We start from the raw sequence: 17,218 nt of genomic DNA on the forward strand, positions 1-17,218 counted from the left end.
TAGGAGAGAGAGCAGGTGCCTGGGGGGTAGGAGTAAGTCTACTGTCGACGGGGGAGGTGGGCTTGGAGCTGAGGGTTAGAAGCTGTTAGCTGTGTGGGGCTTGGAGGCAAGAGTCCAGGCTGAGAACACGTTATATGTGAAAACTCCGAGGCAGGAGAGAGAAGGGGCGGGGGGCCTGAGAACGAGGGAGCCTGTGGGATGAGAACGAGGGAGGCTGTGGGATGAGAACGAGGGAGGCTATGGGATGAGAAAGGCTCTCTGAGAGGAAAGTGTGCACATCACTGGGGCTGGGAGGTCAGAGGAAGGAGGGCACCTTTCTTCCCAAGGGTTTTGGGAAGCCATCGACAGGTACCAAGCAAGAATAGCAGGACCCAGTTCCTTGTAAAAAGACCACCTGTCCCTGTTGTAGGGAGAATGACTCAGAGAGGATGGGGTGAAGATGTTTGCACTTACCGTGACAGACACCCCGGTGGGAAGGACTTTTTTTTTTTTGAGACAGAGTCTCACTCTGTTGCCCAGGCTGGAGTGCAGCAGCACAATCACAGCTCACTGCAAACTCCTGGGCTCAGGTGATCCTCCCACCTCAGCCTCCTGAGTAGCTGGGACCACAGGTGCAAGCTACCATGCCTGACTAATTTTTGTATTTTTTGTAGAGATGGGGTCTCGCTATGTTGCCCAGGCTGGTCTCAAACTCCTGAGCTCAAGTGTTCCTGGGAGGGACATGTTTGGGGAAAGTGACCAAGGCTCCCATTTCAACTGTGCAGCTACTGGGCTGTCTAGGGAATAGCCAGAGGTGTCCTGGGTGTGGCCAGGTATGGGTCCTGGAGAAAGTTGGGGGCCTCTCACCCAGGGAGAGAGGGGAGAGAAAGAAGATCTGGAACTGAGCCTAGGAGCCTCTCAGGATTTTAAGTGGGGAGACGGGGAAGCAGCAGCAACCTAGGAGGCTGGTGGCAGGGAGGGAGGATACCATTTAGCCAGGATGCAGGCTCCAGATCAGTTCCAAAGTCCCTCCCTGGCAGCTGCTGATTCAGAAGGGGGTTTCTAGCACCTGCAAGAAAAAGCATGACGCGGACGGGAGGATGGAGGGGGAAGGGGCTGCCAGGCAGAGCATGATTTGGGCAGAGGTTGTCACACATTTTTGCTCACACATCAGATTAACATTGAAAATTTTCATTGTGAGTTTATTTATTTATTTATTGAGATGGAGTCTCACCCTGTTGCCCAGGCTGGAGTGCAGTGACGCAATCTTGGCTCACTGCAACCTCCACCTGCCAGATTCAAGAGATTCTCCTGTCTCAGCCTCCCGAGTAGCTGGGATTACAGGTGCACATGCCACCATGTCTGGCTAATTTTTGTATTTTTAGTGGAGATGGGGTTTCACCATGCTGGCCAGGCTGGTCTGGAATTCCTGACCTCAGGTGATCTGTCCCCCTCGGCCTCCCAAAGTGCTGGGATTACAGGCGTGAGTCACCTCGCCCTGCCCATTGTGAGTTTAAATGGTCACAAAAGACATAATTTTTGCACTTTAAGATAACACTGTAGGGCCGGGCGCGGTGGCTCACACCTGTAATCCCAGCACTTTGGGAGGCCGAGGCGGGCGGATCACGAGGTCAGGAGATCGAGACCATCCTGGCTAACACGGTGAAACCCCGTCTCTACTAAAAATCCAAAAAAAAAAAAAAAAAATTAGCTGGGTGTGGTGGCGGGCGCCTGTAGTCCCAGCTACTTGGGAGGCTGAGGCAGGAGAATGGCGTGAACCCGGGAGGCGGAGCTTGCAGTGAGCCGAGACCTCGCCACTGCACTCCAGCCTGGGTGACAGAGCGAGACTCCATCTCAAAAAAAAAAAAAAAAAAAAAAAGATAACACTGTTGCATTGCTTGTCTAATTACTCGGTGGAATCTAGATGCCACAGCAATGTAACCTCCCATCCATGTATCAAACACATGAACAAGTCAGACACTTATGATCTTTTTTGTACTAGAACCCGTATTTCCATTCCACTCTCTCATCAAATGTCATGTTAATGAAATTTTTTTCTTCCCCTTTTTTTTTTTTTTGCCTAACAGTCTTATTGATCATGCTATCTTATTTCTCTGCAACAAAAATATGTATATACTACAAATGAAAACTTAACATAGGCCCGGTGCGGCCTAAAACTATAAAACCTAATATAGTTTTTTTTTTTTTTTCTGGTGACCACAAAACCCTAGGTATTAAATATTTCTTTTGGATTATTTTTAGTATACAATTGCTCAAAATAACATAAATAGGTTACAAACTTTTTTTTTTTTTTGAGAAGGAGTCTCACACTGTGGCCCAGGCTGGAGTGCAGTGGCACGATCTGGGCTCACTGCAACTTCCGCCTCCCGGGTTCAAGGGATTCTCCTGCGTCAGCCTCCTGAGTAGCTGGGATTACAGGTGTGCACCCCTATGCCTGGCTAATTTTTGTATTTTTAGTAGAGACGGGATTTTGCCATGTTGGCCAGGCTGGTCTCAGACTCCTGATCTCAAGTGATCCGCCTGCCGAGGCCTTCCAAAGTGCTAGGATTACAGGCATGAGCCACCACGCCTGGCCAAAATTTTTTTAAAAAGAAAAAACAATTAAAAAGAAATTTATTTCTCACAGTTCTGGAGGCTGGGGAGACCAAGATCAAGATGCCAGCAGATTTGGTGCCTGGTGAAGGTTGCCTTCTGCTTCCAAAATGGTGCCTTCTTGCTGTGTCCTCACGAGGCAGAAGTGGAAGGGTCGAGCTAGTTCCCTCAAGCCCTTTTTTTGAGACAGTCTTGCTCTGTTGCCCAGGCTGGAGTGCAGTGGCACGATCTCGGCTCACTGCAACCTCTACCTCTTAGGCTCAAGTGATTCTCTTGCCTTAGCCCCCCGAGTAGTTGGGATTACAGGCACCCGATACCACACCTGGCTATTTTTTGTATTTTTTAGTAGACAGGGTTTCACCATGTTAGCCAGGCTGGTCTTGAACTCCTGGCCTTAAATGATCCACCTGCCTCCCCAAATGCTGGGATGATTGGCGTGAGTGACTGTGCCCAGCCCCTCAAGCCTTTTTTTTTTTTTTTTTTGAGATGGAGTCTCACTCTGTCGCTCAGGCTGGAGTGTAGTGGCATGATCTGAGTTAACTGCAACCTCCGCCTCCCGGGTTCAAGCGATTCTCCTCCCTCAGCCTCCCGAGTAGCTGGGATTACAGGCACATGCCACCATGCCCGACTAATTTTTTGTATTTTTAGTAGAGATGGGGTTTCACCGTGTTAGCTAGGATGGTCTCGATCTCCTGACCTTGTGATCCGCCCGCCTCGGTCTCCCAAAGTGCTGGGATTACAGGCGTGAGCCACTGCGCCCATCCTCAAGCCCTTTTTATAAGGGTATGAATTCCATTAATGAGGGTAGAGCCCTCTTGGCCTAATCACCTCGAAAAAGGCTCCACCTCTTACGACCACCACAATGGAGACTAACCATGGCACCAATCCACTTGTGTCTTGCAGGACATCGTGTGTATTTTGCTTGATGAATATCAGTTACTGAGTTTTGTAATTCCAGATCTATCTAAACACCACTCATCAAATCCTGCCAGCACCCCGGTATAATCCTTAAAGACAACAAACATTTCCTTTGTGAGCTAAACTGTCTCTCCTGACTTGTGAACTTCACAGGATGGTTGAGAGGGTCAAAGGAGGTGATAGTCCCAGCAAATGGTTCCTGTTGAACTCTTACTCTATGCGGTGCTAAGTGCTCCACGTGCATCAGCTCACTGGTACCCCAGCAACTCCAAGAAGGGACTGTTGTGATCCCCACTTTACAGTTAGGGAAACTGAGTCCCAGAAAGGTGGCATCACATTTCCAGAGCCACTCAGCTAGGAAGAAAGGGAACAAACCAGGTTGTGATTTATAATCCCAACCTCCTCTTCTCCCTCCCAACTCCTGATGCTGCAAAGCCTCTGGAGACAGCAGAGCTGCCCCTTTGTCCCACGTGGCTGCGCCCTGATGAACACACCGGACTTGTCCAAGGCAGCCTCTTGGTCCTCAGGGTCAGCTGGAGAAGCATTTCAATTAGACAGACAGCATGGCCCTGGGTGCCAGGCTGCTTGTTAGACGGCCCTTGGAGAGATGCCGGGACAGCCTGACTCTTTCGGGCAGTGGTGGTGACATTCCTTGTGGTGGGACTTTCCTGCCTTAGGCCAGGCCTCTTCAGCCTGGGGTATGTGACCCTCTGAGGTAGGTGAAGACTTCCTAAGGGTGCATAAGAGTGGATCACTCTAAGGATCCTAATTCCAGAAACTCAACCTCTTTCTTCTTTCCTCCCTGGGTATGGCACCGGTGGCCCCAGCGGCCCCATGCTCCTTCTCATTTCCCCTTTCCCATTGGACTCTGGCTACTTGGAAAGGGGAAAAGTCACTTAGTAATTTCTTCCTATGGATATATGAAGTAAATGGAAAAAAAAAAGAGAACCCCAACCATCCTATTAAGAGATACATTTTCCATACACTTTTAGTTATTTAATTACTTATAAAAAGTTTGTGGGCTAAGAGTGGTGGTTCACATCTGTAATCCCAGCACTTTGGGAGGCCGAGGCAGGCGGATCACTTGAGGTCAGGAGTTCCAGACCAGCCTGGCCAACACGGTGAAACTGCATCTCTACTAAATCTCTACTAAAACTACAAAAAGTAGGCCGAGCGCGGTGGCTACACCTGTAATCCCAGCACTTTGGGAGGCCGAGGTGGGCAGATCACGAGGTCAAGAGTTCGAGACCAGCCTGGCCAACATGGTGAAACCCCGTCTCTACTAAAAACAGATGGGCATGGTAGTGCACACCTGTAATCCCAGCTACTGGGGAGGCTGAGGCAGGAGAATGGCTTGAACCCAGGAGGCAGAGGTTGCAGTGAGCGGAGATCATGCCACTGCACTCCAGCCTGGGTGACAAAGCGAGACTCCATCTCAAAAAAAAAAAAAAAAAAAAAATAGCTGGGCATCGTGATGCACACGTGTAATCCCAGCTACTCGGAGGCTGAGGCAGGAGAATTGCTTGAACCTAAGAGGCAGAGGCTGCAGTGAGCTGAGATCATGCCACTGCACTCTGCACTCCAGCCTGGGCAACAGAGTGAGCTGCTGTCTCAAAAAAAAAAAAAGTTTAAGCCACTTCCCACGGCCAACTTCTATTCTTTTTTTTTTTCTTCTTTTTTTTGAGACGGAGTCTTGCTCTGTCGCCCAGGCTGGAATGCAGTGGCGCAATCTTGGCTCACTGCAACCTCTGCCTCCTGGGTTCAAGCCATTTTCCTGTCTCAGCCTCCCGAGTACCTGGGATTACAGGCGCGCACCACCACACCTGGCTAATTTTTGTATTTTTTGTAGAGACGGGATTTCACCATGTTGGCCAGGCTGGTCTCGAACTCCTGACCTCAGGTGACCTGCCTGCCTCGGCCTCCCAAAGTCCTGGGATTACAGGCATGAGCCAGTGCACCTGGCCCTTCCATTCATTCTTTAGATCGCAACTGAGATAGGGAGGAGAAGATCCCTCCCCACCCACAGGCCTCTGTGCATCCTGCATTACAGCCTTGGCCCACCCTGGACATAAGCTGCCTGCTTGCTCATCTGTCTCCCTGACTAGTTACCTGGACCACGGCAACAGCCTCTTCACTGGCTCTCTGCCTTCCATTTCTTGTGAACCCAGCAGCCAGAATGATCTCTGATCTGACCATGTTGCTTCCTGTGTAAAACCCTCTGTGGCTCCCTATTACCCCCCAGAACAGAGGCCAAACTCCTTACAACATTCGCAAGGACTTCACCTTCCAGTCTCTGCCTGATTCTTCATCCCTATCTCTCACCACCTTCCGCCATGTGGAATCCTTTCAGTTCTCCAAACTGACTGTTGTTTTCTGCCTAAAACACTCTACTCATTTTTTGCCTGGCCTAACTCCCTCAGTGCCCAGCTTAGACAAAAGCCTTCCCTGTACCACTGTCCGATACTTCTCTGCCCACTCAGCATTGAGTCTCACCCCTTTGTCGGCCTCCCCCATAGACCGTCAGCTCTGAGAGGGCAGGGGCCAACTCCGTCCCCTCCTCTGCTGTCGTTCCTGGCATCCAGCAAGGGGCCTGCCACCTAGCGTGCTGAATGAAAGAATGGACCTCGGGATTTCAGTGTGGAAGCCTGGGCAGGTCTGTCTTGGGGCCGCTGCATCCCCAGTGCTCAGTCTAGGGCGCAGCACGGAGAGTTCGCAACTGTTTCAGGAAGAAGGCAGGCGGGTGGGCCGACCCAAGAAACGCACATTATACCTCCGGCGAAGTGAAGGGAGGGATAACAAAGCAAAGCTTGAGGGCTCCGAGAAGCTCTGAAGAAAACAAATCCAGCCATAAGCCCACTCCTGTAACCCCAGGCTTTGGAAGACGGAGGCAGGTAGATCGCTTGAGGTCAGGAGTTCGAGACCAGCTTGGGCCACATGGCGAAACCCCGTCTCTACTAAAAACACAAAAGTTGGCTGGGCGTGTTGGCGGGCACCTATAATCCCAGCTACTCCAGCAGCTGAGATGGGAGAATCGCTTGAACCTGGGAGGAAGAGTTTGCAGCGAGCCGAGATCCTGCCACTGCGCTCCAGCCGGGGCGACAGAGCCAGACCCTGTCCCCAATATACATATCAGATAAGAAAAAAATATAAGAAAGTTTAAAAAAATTTTTTTTGGCTTTTTTTTGTTTTTTTTGAGACGGAGTCTCGCTCTGTCGTCCAGGCTGGAGTGCAGTGGCACGATCTCGGCTCACTGCAAGCTCCGCCTCCCAGGTTCACGCCATTCTCCTGCCTCAGCCTCCCGAGTAGCTGGGACTACAGGCGCCCGCCACCATGCCCGGCTGATTTTTTCTATTTTTCGTAGTGATGGGATTTCACTGTGTTAGCCAGGATGGTCTTGATCTCCTGACCTCGTGATCCGCCTGCCTCGGCCTCCCAAAGTGCTGGGATTACAGGCGTGAGCCGCCGCGCCCGGCCAGCCTTTTTTTTTTTTTTTGAGACAGTTTCGCTCTTGTCGCCCAGGCTGGAGTGCAGTGGCACGATCTCGGCTAACTGCAACCTCCGCCTCCTGGGTTCAAGAGATTCTCCTGCCTCAACCTCCCGAGTAGCTGGGATTACAGGCGCCCGCCACCACACCCATCTAATTTTTTGTATTTTTAGTAGAGACGGGGTTTCGCCACGTTGAGCAGGCTGGTCTCGAACTCCTGACATCAGGTGATCCGCCCGCTTCAGCTTCCCAAAGTGCTGGGATTACAGGCGTGAGCCACGGCGCCCGGCCAAAAAAAAAAAATTTTTTTTTTTTTTTTTAGATATTTTTTCACTCTTGTTGCCCAGGCTGGAGTGCAATGGCGTGATCTCGGCTCGGCCTCCCAAAGTCCTGGGATTACAGGCGTGAGCCACCGCGCCCGGCCCGAAAAAATTTTTTTAAAAGAAAAGGGAAACAAAACAGTCTCCTACACCTTCGGACCACTCCCAAGAACGATGGCACCGCCCTCCTCTCCGCCCCTCACCAACATGGCCGCCCCCAAGGGAGTGGGCGGGTCTGCGGGGCGGAAGTGACGCACGAGAGGAAGTCCGTCCTGCCGCTTGGCCGCGGGGCGCCTGGCTCAGTGGCTTCTGCGGGCTTCGAGGAGCGGGATGTTGCGGGCTGGGTGGCTCCGGGGCGCGGCGGCGCTGGCGCTGCTGCTGGCGGCCCGAGTGGTGGCGGCGTTCGAGCCCATCACCGTGGGCCTAGCCATCGGGGCCGCGTCGGCCATCACCGGCTACCTGTCCTACAATGACATCTACTGCCGCTTCGCCGAGTGCTGCCGCGAGGAGCGGCCGCTCAACGCTTCGGGTACGGCGCGCGCGCGAGCTGTGGGTCGGCGCTGCGGGGGGCGCGGGGGCGCGGGGGCGCGGAGGGACGGCCTCGTGGGCGCCTGGCACGGACCGGGCCCGTGGCATCTAGACGGCGGTGGTCCCAGCTGGGGTGGGCGGGGAGCGGATGGGGCGGCCCCGGAACCGTTCGCGGGAACGCAGAAGCGGTGCCTTCGCAAACAGTCTCCAGATCGTGGGGCTGCCCCAGCGCCTTTCTAAAGCTCCCGTTCCTTGGGATCACAGGTGGAAGAAACGGAAAGTAGGCGGGCGGCCCTTCTGCGCCCTGCCAACCCTATTAAGTAGTTTTCAGACGTGCTGCGTCGCCCAGAAAGCCCACATTTGGCCCCTGGTTTTCCTGCAGGTCAGCAAGGGTGGCTGGGATTAGCAAGCGCTCAGTCAAGCGATGGTTCATCTCTGAATGAATGAACATTTAGCTTCCTTATCAGACCCCGAAGCGTTAAGGACCTCCACATAATCTTGAAAGTGGCATCGTTTGACTGCCTCGGCCCTAGGGTGTGGCAGACACCCTGCTGTGTCCCTGGATAATCTGTGCTTCTTGCTTTGGCCAGCTAAGAAAGTGCTGCGTTGCTGATGCATTTTTAAGGTCTGTTTCTCTCTTTGTTCTGGGGCTGTTCTTGCAGCTCTCAAGCTGGATTTGGAGGAGAAGCTGTTTGGACAGCATCTAGCCACGGAAGTGATTTTCAAGGCGCTGACTGGCTTCAGGAACAACAAAAATCCCAAGAAACCACTGACCCTTTCCTTACACGGCTGGGCTGGCACAGGCAAGAATTTTGTCAGTCAAATTGTGGCTGAAAATCTTCACCCAAAAGGTCTGAAGAGTAACTTTGTCCACCTGTTTGTATCGACTCTGCACTTCCCTCATGAGCAGAAGATAAAACTGTACCAGGCAAGAGAACCCGCTATTATCTCGTCTGCAGGCCAGTCGGACTGGTCCGGGTGACCTGCTCACTAACTCTGGCCTCTGCTTCTCTTTCCTTTGTGTTGCTGTAGCCCCCGGCTCCACTGAGTTAAGGCACACTTAGTCCAGGTAGTTACAAAGCTCTCCTACAACATTTCTCTTACTTGGTTCCAAAACAGTCCAGTGGGGTAGGGGATGTTATTTCCATTAAAAGATGGGGAGCCAAGGGCCTGGCGCCGTGGCTCACGCCTGTAATCCCAGCATTTTGGGGAAGCCGAGGCGGGCGGATCATTTGAGGCCAGGAGTTTGAGACCAGCCTGGCCAACATGGTGAAACCCCATCTCTACCTAAAAGTACCAAAATTACCTGAGCACGGTGGCACGCACCTGTAATCCCAGCTACTTGGGAGGCTGAGGCAGGAGAATCGCTTGAACCTGGGTGGCAGAGGTTGCAGTGAGCTGAGATCGCGCCACCGTACTCGGTCTCAAAAAAAAAAAAAAAAAAAAGGCCTGGCACAGTGGCTCACGCCTGTAATCCCAGCACTTTCGGAGGCCGAGGGGGGCGGATCACGAGGTCAGGAGATGGAGACCATCCTGGCTAACACGGTGAGACCCCGTCTCTACTAAAAATACAAAAAATTAGCCGGGGATGGTGGCGGGCACCTGTTGTCCCAGCTACTCGGGAGGCTGAGGCAGGAGAATGGCCTGAACCCGGGAGGCGGAGCTTGCACTGAGCCGAGATCGCGCCACTGCACTCCAGCCTGGGCGACACAGTGAGACTCTGTCTCAGAAAAAAAAAAAAAAAAGAGAGATGTAGTCAGGGCCAGGTGCAGTGGCTCACGCCTGTAATCCCAGCACTTTGGGATCCGCCAAGGCGGGCGGATCACCTGAGGTCGGGAGTTCGAGACCAGCCTGACCAACATGGAGAAACCCCGTCTCTACTGAAAATACAAAATTAGCCGGGCGTGATGGCGTGCGCCTGTAATTCAAGCTACTTGGGAGGCTGAGGTTGCAGTCAGCTGAGAATGGGCCACTGCACCCCAGCCTGGGCAACAGAATGAGACTCTGTCTCAAAAAAAAAGAAAAAAAAAAAAGATGGAGCCTGGAGCCCAGAGGCAAGGTGACTTACTCCTACAATCTTTGTAGCAGAACAGGACCTTTGTAGCAGAACCAAAACCTCCCAACTCCCAGTTGACATGGTAGCCACCTTCTCTGGTGAGTGAAGGGATTCCACATCCCCAGCAGTGCAGTTGGTGAGAAGGGGCAGTCAGTCTTCAAGGATTTGCTCCGGTGTGGCTTCATTCAATGCTGCCCACCTCTGGTGCAGCCTCAGCTTTGCCTCTGCTCTTTGCAATGTAGCCTAGAGGTCTTTTTTCTCCTTAACAGGTTTTATTCCCTTTGTTCCTCCCATCCTTCATGTCCTTGGCATTGCTTTCTTCAAAGGAAGCCTCAAAGAACTGAACCTTGAGACTGTTTCTCCTTTTGAGATATTGTTTCCACATTCATTTTATATTAAGTTGTCTAGGAGGGTTAGTTCTCATTTAAATGAATGTTGTCCTTGTCAAGGTTAACATTCCCACTGGCAACATAGCAAGACTCCATCTCTACAAAAAATAAAAAAATTAGCCAGGTGTAGTGGCATGCACCTGTAGTCCCAGCTACTTGGGAGGCTGAGATGGGAGGATCGCTTGAGCCCGGGAGGCTGAGCCTACAATGAACCATGGTCATGTCACTGCATTCCAGTCTGGGCGACAGAGTAAGACTCTATCTCAAAAAAAAAAAAAAAAAATTCCTCCTGTTAGGTGGGGACTGAAGAAAGAAATAGAAACTTAACTGAACAAGGAAGTAGAAGTGTTTGCCCAACAAACTGACGTGAGACAGGGAAGACTGCTAAAAAGGAAGGAAGGAAGGATTTTCTTGTTCTTTACATTCTTCATAAATCTCCGGAAACAGAGTAATATAAATGGTTGAGGGCATGTCTGGGGGAGTTTCCTGGTATAGCCTTTCACGCTTTGGGGTTGAGGGCTTGTTGCTTGAGTGTCTTTATGTTTGTTTGAAGAAAACATCTGGAACAGATGCTTTTCATGAAATGTCATTGAGTCAGCTCTGTTGGTCTGGGGCACTGTGTACTGTGCAGGTCTTGATCTAGTTCCTTATTCCTCAGTATGTCTGATAGTACTAACTTGAGATTGTAGTCCAAGAGAGATGAAAACTATGGCTACGTTAGCAGTGAATGATATTCACGGATCTTGCCGGGTGGCTCATTCCTGTAATCTCAGCACTTTGGGAGGGTGAGGTGGGTGGATCACCTGAGGTCAGGAGTTTGAGACGAGCCTGGCCAACATGGCACAACCCTGTCTCTACTAAAAATACAAAAATTAGCCAGGCATGGTGCAGGGGATCGGGGCGCCTGTAGTCCCAACTACACGGGGGGCTGAGGCCGGGGAATCGCTTGAACCCAAGAGGCAGAGGTTGCAGTGAGCTGAGATCACGCCACTACACACCAGCCTGGGGGATAGAGTGAGACCCTGTTTCCAAAGACAAAAAAGAGAAGAAAAGAATCACGGATCTTGTACCTCTTATACCTTTAAAAAGTCAGATTTAATAGTCATTTGAGTTAGGAAAAAACTTCTCTGCATTTTAGCATCTATCTCTGCCAATTTCCACTTTTTAGAGATAAGGTTTTAGAAAAGCTGCTACCTAGCGAGTGGGGGTGAGGGTGCCATTCTAAGAGCTCTGACCTCGTCCTTCAGTGCATGAGGAGCAGATGGAGCCTGCGCGCCTCTTGGTGCACCCTTTGAGCTTCGCATCCTGTTTCTTCTTTCATGGTTGGTCCAGGACCAGTTACAGAAGTGGATCCGCGGTAATGTGAGTGCATGTGCGAACTCTGTTTTCATATTTGACGAGATGGATAAATTGCACCCCGGGATCATTGACGCAATCAAGCCGTTTCTAGACTACTACGAGCAGGTTGACGGAGTGTCTTACCGCAAAGCCATCTTCATCTTTCTCAGGTCAGCGGGAGGCGGTTTTTTGGGGCACACAAGCCCTTCATTCTCTCAATGATAAAATGAGGTCCTGAGGACCATCAGCACTTTGTTTACCAGGACGAAAGTGCCTGCTTGGCACAAGGCACTTACCTACTGCTTTACTTTTCCTTTGCCAGTCTCAGCATGGCACACAGTGTGGGTTGTGGAAATGAACTAAAGAAATAATCACTGGGCCAGGCGCGGTGGCTCACACCTGTAATCCCAGCACTTTGGGAGGCCATGGCGGGCGGATCACCAGGAGATCGAGACCATCCTGGCTAACATGGTGAAACCCTGTCTCTACTAAAAATACAAAAATTAGCCGGGCGTGGTGGCGGGCGCCTGTAGTCCCATCTACTCGGGAGACTGAGGCAAGAGAATGGCGTGAACCCGGGAGGCGGAGCTTGCAGTGAGCCGGGATCACACCACTGCACTCCAGCCTGGGTGACAGAGTGAGACTCTGTCTCAAAAAAAAAAAAAAAAGAAATAATCACTGATAGCAGGCAATTTTAGCTGGGCATCGTGGCATGTGCCTGGAGTCCCAGCTCCTGGGGAAGTCGAGGCAGGAGGATTGGTTGAGCCCAGGAGTTCAAGGTTTTATTGAGCTATGATCATACCACTGCACTCCTGCCTGGGTGACAATCAAGACCCCGACCCTAAAAATGAAACAGAAATGAAAACAGTTAATTTTATTAACTGTGCATGTTGGTTTTTAGGGTTATAAAGGGCCATAGCATTATCCCAGCTAGTTGTGAATAAACACTTTAAGTTCCATGAGAGCACACTTTTTTGTCTAGTAGCACTCAGTAAATATTCCTTGATGAAAAATAGATCTTCGGCCGGGTGTGGTGGCTCACACCTGTAATCCTAGCACTTTGGGAGGCCAAGGTGGGCAGATCACTTGAGGTCAGGATTTCAAGACCAGGCTGGCCAACATGGTGAAACCCCGTGTCTACTAAAAATACAAAAATTAGAAGGGGCGTCGTGGCAGGCGCCTGTAATCCCAGCTACTCAGGAGGTTGAGGCAGAAGAATCACTTGAACCCGGAAGGTGGAGGTTGCAGTGAGCTGATATTGCGCCACTGCACTCCAGCCTGCGTGACAGAGTGTCTCAAAAGGAAAAATAGACTTAGAGCAGATTCATTTCTTGGTAAGACACAGAAGTCTTTTTTTTTTTTTTTTTTTTTTTGAGACCGAGTTTCATTTTTGTTGCCCAGGCTGGAGTGCAATGGCATGATCTCGGCTCGCTGCAACCTCCACCTCCCGGATTCAAACGATTCTCCCACCTCAGCCTCCCATGTAGCTGGGATTACAGGCATGCACCACCATTAGCCTGGCTAATTTTTGTGTTTTTAGTAGAGATGGGGTTACTCTATGTTGGTCAGGCTGGCCTTGAACTCCCGACCTCAGGTGATCTACCTGCCTCGGCCTCCCAAAGTGCTGGGATTACAGGCATGAGCCACCACACCCAGCAGACACAGAAGTCTTAATATGTGATTTTAATCTTTATTTCTCTGGCAAACTCAGCAATGCAGGCGGGGACCTTATAACTAAGACGGCTCTTGACTTTTGGCGGGCCGGAAGAAAGAGGGAAGACATTCAGCTGAAGGACCTGGAACCTGTACTGTCTGTCGGAGTCTTCAATAATAAACACAGTGAGTCCACCAGGGTAAAGGAGCCCCTTAACTGTCCAGCAGTGAGCCGTCTGCTCTTTCATTGAGTGTTTCACAAAGCCACAGGATCCCACTGGATTTCCTCACTTTGCTAAAGTCAGGAATTTTCTTAGGGCATACTGTGCTAGAAACCAGTGAGTGAGTGTCCAGCTGAGTCCTGCATGGGCTTGTTGCACACTGACAAGAGACTCTCTCAAGGGGTACGGACATGAGGAATGTGCTGAGGGTCGGGACTGGAGCTTGGCCAGGTGGCGGTGGTGGCAGGAAACCCAGCTGTGTCTTGTTCTGCAGGTGGCCTGTGGCACAGTGGACTGATCGACAAAAACCTCATTGATTACTTTATCCCCTTCCTGCCTTTGGAGTACAGACATGTGAAAATGTGTGTGAGGGCCGAGATGAGGGCCCGTGGTTCTGCCATAGATGAAGACATTGTCACAAGAGTGGCAGAGGAAATGACGTTTTTCCCCAGAGACGAGAAAATCTACTCAGACAAGGGCTGCAAGACTGTGCAGTCGCGGCTGGATTTCCACTGAGCTCCTATCCAGATGGGGTAGGAGACAGCTGGGAGGCTCCGCACGCCAGAGGCCTTGCCTTTCAGAAGAACCCTGAAGACCGCTTTGGGGTTTTGCCTGTTTGCACCTTAGACTTTTGGGTATAGAATCTTTTTTTTGAGAAGAGGTCTCACTCCGTCATCCAAGCTGGAGTGCAGTGGTGCAATCCTCAACTCACTGCAACCTCCGCTCCCGGTTTGAGTGATTCTCATGCCTCAGCCTCCCGAGTAGCTGGGATTACAGGCATGAGCCACTGTGCCCAGCTGGGATATAGAATCTAAGAGTTGATTGTGGAAAACACGTGAATCTATTGCGCGCATTTGTCATTTAGCAAGATGGCAGCAGTCCAGCTGTTCTTTGCAGCTGGAGATGAACTTTTAAAAATCCCCTTCACACTTAATGTACTGACCGAGACAGAAGTACCTGAAAACAGCTGTGCATGGCAGGCCCGGCAATAGCTTCTGACCCACAGCACCCGCGCCTCAGAAGCTACGGTCACAACTAAAGGAGTCCAGGGACTTGCTGCAGGCTGGGGGGCACTGGGTGGTTCTCACCAGCAGGCTGCGGGGCACTGTGTTCTCATTGGCCAAAAACATCCTTTTGCTCTGTCTCGTTCTTTACACAGAGTTCACTGACTTGAAGTATACTCAGTTAAAATCGGGGCTGGAGGTGCAGACGGTGTCTGACCGGAGGATGTGGCCGTGCCCGCCGAGCACTCTTGATCTGAGCTGACCTGTGTGTGTGTGTGTGGGGGGGTGGGGCCTTCACCTAAGACCTCTGCAGCAGACCTGGACAGACAGGCCCCTCCCGCCTGTCCATCGCTCTAGCTGCTAATACAGCCCTGGCTGTGGAATCCTTCACCGTCTCAGCTGGTATCAGCCCCAGCCTGCCTTGTGCCATATCTCAGCTTGGATCTCTGCTAGAGTCCCCCCAACCATATATCATAGAGTTGAATCACAATGAGACCGTTGGCTTTGAATTTGAGTCGTTGGTTCCCATGGTGAGATGCTTGTTAAGACTTTATACTTGGGTCAATCTCTCACTTTATTTTGTAGAACCATTTGAAATCCTAGGATGTGCTTGTTCTGGAAGGATGACATGGGCCCAGACTGAACAAGTCAGCTTGATGATCTTAAATGATGGAAGTATAGGACGTTGCTTATTTTAAAACAAGGGAAGGACACAAAATGGAATGACTGCTTAGTCCTTTCTCAGATACTCTTAAAACAATTTTTTATTGTTAAATTTGTGGTAATACATGGTCACAACCGTGGATCAAACAAGGTCAGTCTAAAGTGGCAGGTCCTAGGTGTGACCTGATACCACCACCCTTTGTGGCAGCACCGGGCTGGACTGCCCTGATCCCTGGGACGTGAGACTTAGCTTCCAGCCAGTGTGAATCATTGTATCTGTCTCATAATCACAGCACAGCTGCAGACACAACAACGTGCAGCATTTTTTACATAAAAATATGGTAGAATTAATTTATGACATGGAAATGCCTTACGTGGTATCACACTTAGTCTTGAAAAAAACACCAAGGTGACGTTTAAAATTTTTAGTACATATCCTCAAATTGGAGCTAAGTTATACTTCTTTTATAACCTTTTGGGCATCTGGTCGAGAGAAGACAAGATTTTCTCTATTTACAGTGAGGCAATAAATATGTTTGCCACCTTTGGACTGCCGTTACTGATTTGTAACTTGAAAAGGCTACGGTTGATCATGACCCCGCCTCCCCCACCTCCCTTATAAGATGTGGACGAGAGCTTTATTGACCTACTGACTATAAAATAGTAAATTCTAGATTTTATCATGTGAAATGCCACTTGCTAACTTTTTCTAGTTTATTTGGTTCCAAAGTTCAGAATGAATTTCAGCAGCACAGCTGTGAGACTCACCATATCCGGGACAGGCGGGTGGGCAGTCAGCGCGATACAGAAGCAATATTTACCTTAAAGGCTCTTCCCCAGACAAATAGAAGTTAAATTAGCTGATGGATATTTCATCAAAGAGATGGACTTTCTCCCAAAATTAACGTGGGAGGAAATTGAGGTACTGGTAAAGTAAAACTCACCTCTGACAGCCTGAACCTGAGCTCAGGTGAGGAAACCTAACCATTGAAACTGGTAAATAAATCCTGGCCGGGTGCGGTGGCTCACACCTGTAATTCCAGCACTTTGGGAGGCCGAGGTGGGTGGGTCACCTGAGGTGGGGAGTTTGAGACCAGCCTGACCAACATGGAGAAACCCCATCTCTACTAAAAATACAAAATTAGCTGGGTGTGGTGGCACATGCCTGTAATCCCAGCTACTAGGGAGGCTGAGGCAGGAGAATCGCTTGAACCTGGGAGGCAGAGGTTATAGTGAGCCGCGATCGTGCCATTGCACTCCAGCCTGGACAGTAAGAGTGAAACTCCGTCTCAAAAAAAATTCTAGTTATGCTAATCTGATCTCAGCTTAATTACACATAATCCAGTATTGTCTCATCAGTGAATTGCTAACACCCACCCTCTTCACAGGATTAAGGATTAGCAGATTTACTAGAAAGCACAAACCCTCATCACCATCACCCCACCCACTCCCTTATTTTCTCAGCTGAAGTTACTCAATTCCCAGGAGACTGACTTTCTAGGTCTGGTTCTCAGTCTTAACGCAGTTCCTATTCTACCTACACTGCCTCATCTACTAAGACTGAACCTTCCAAAACTGTCAGGGGACCCGTGTTCTCTAACTAGGGACTTCTGGTGCCTGGGCCACACTCTTCAAAGGAATGATTAGACCTAATCTGTGACTCCCAGGGACATAGCAGGCTGGCTGCAGCTCAATACCAAGAACTTTCTAACGCTTGGAGCCATCTTTAGGTGCCCTGGGCTGCCCTAGGGGGACCCCATGCAGGCTGGGAAGCCATAAGGCAGAGGGTTCCTGCGTTAGACCTGCAGTCGAGGCCACAAACTCGTCTTCTGTGCCTACTAGAAGTGGCCCCTGCAGTGCTCTCTGCAGCAGCCGCACCCATGGGAGCACTGCCCACGTGCTGGGACACAGGCATGTTGGATAAAATAAGGTGTGCTTACCTTAGTCTACGGCACTGTTCCTGCTGGCATCTCAGCTGTACTTGAACTCCGTGGCTGGGTGTCAGGAGCTCCAAGAACCCCACAATGGAGGGCGACTTCCCAGACCACTGGG

General features: G+C 50.6%; 1 protein-coding gene across 8 annotated transcripts, besides 4 other annotated features; it reads left to right on the forward strand.

Moving 5' to 3' along the window:
• Positions 7,616-15,713, forward strand: TOR1B (torsin family 1 member B). Of its 8 annotated transcripts, none has more exons than NR_133948.2 (5): positions 7,616-7,843; positions 8,505-8,911; positions 11,620-11,795; positions 13,337-13,464; positions 13,774-15,713. NR_133948.2 is itself a non-coding variant. In NM_014506.3 (5 exons), the coding sequence occupies exons 1-5, from the start codon at positions 7,645-7,647 to the stop codon at positions 14,013-14,015; spliced, it is 1,011 nt and encodes a 336-aa protein (NP_055321.1). In that variant the 5' UTR covers positions 7,616-7,644; the 3' UTR covers positions 14,016-15,713. The 8 variants fall into 8 exon arrangements, 4 of the variants coding, with proteins under 4 accessions (NP_055321.1, XP_005251984.1, NP_001304822.1 ...); NR_134113.2 differs by having other exon boundaries at positions 14,659-15,713; NM_014506.3 differs by having other exon boundaries at positions 8,505-8,770.
• Positions 7,696-7,825: a silencer, noted in NCBI's record as "silent region_20388". NCBI's record gives its function as "represses an Ori minimal core promoter by ATAC-STARR-seq in GM12878 lymphoblastoid cells {active_cell/tissue: GM12878}" and the evidence as "EXISTENCE:reporter gene assay evidence [ECO:0000049][PMID:35858748]".
• Positions 7,886-8,005: a silencer, noted in NCBI's record as "silent region_20389". NCBI's record gives its function as "represses an Ori minimal core promoter by ATAC-STARR-seq in GM12878 lymphoblastoid cells {active_cell/tissue: GM12878}" and the evidence as "EXISTENCE:reporter gene assay evidence [ECO:0000049][PMID:35858748]".
• Positions 16,602-16,896: a silencer, noted in NCBI's record as "tiled region #13743; HepG2 Repressive non-DNase unmatched - State 14:Gen5'". NCBI's record gives its function as "represses a minimal TATA promoter and a strong SV40 promoter by Sharpr-MPRA in HepG2 cells {active_cell/tissue: HepG2}" and the evidence as "EXISTENCE:reporter gene assay evidence [ECO:0000049][PMID:27701403]".
• Positions 17,022-17,071: an enhancer, noted in NCBI's record as "active region_29121". NCBI's record gives its function as "activates an Ori minimal core promoter by ATAC-STARR-seq in GM12878 lymphoblastoid cells {active_cell/tissue: GM12878}" and the evidence as "EXISTENCE:reporter gene assay evidence [ECO:0000049][PMID:35858748]".

The sequence above is a fragment of the Homo sapiens genome, chromosome 9 (assembly GCF_000001405.40).
Source record: "Homo sapiens chromosome 9, GRCh38.p14 Primary Assembly".
In the NCBI taxonomy this organism is placed as follows: Eukaryota; Metazoa; Chordata; class Mammalia; order Primates; family Hominidae; genus Homo; species Homo sapiens.

Coding starts and splice junctions, on each gene's coding strand:
- TOR1B (NM_014506.3), top strand. CDS start 7,645: ATGTTGCGGGCTGGGTGGCTCCGGGGCGCGGCGGCGCTGGCGCTGCTG. Junction 8,771..11,619: donor AGAAGATAAAACTGTACCAG/GCAAGAGAACCC, acceptor TGGTTGGTCCAG/GACCAGTTACAGAAGTGGAT. Junction 11,796..13,336: donor GCCATCTTCATCTTTCTCAG/GTCAGCGGGAGG, acceptor TGGCAAACTCAG/CAATGCAGGCGGGGACCTTA.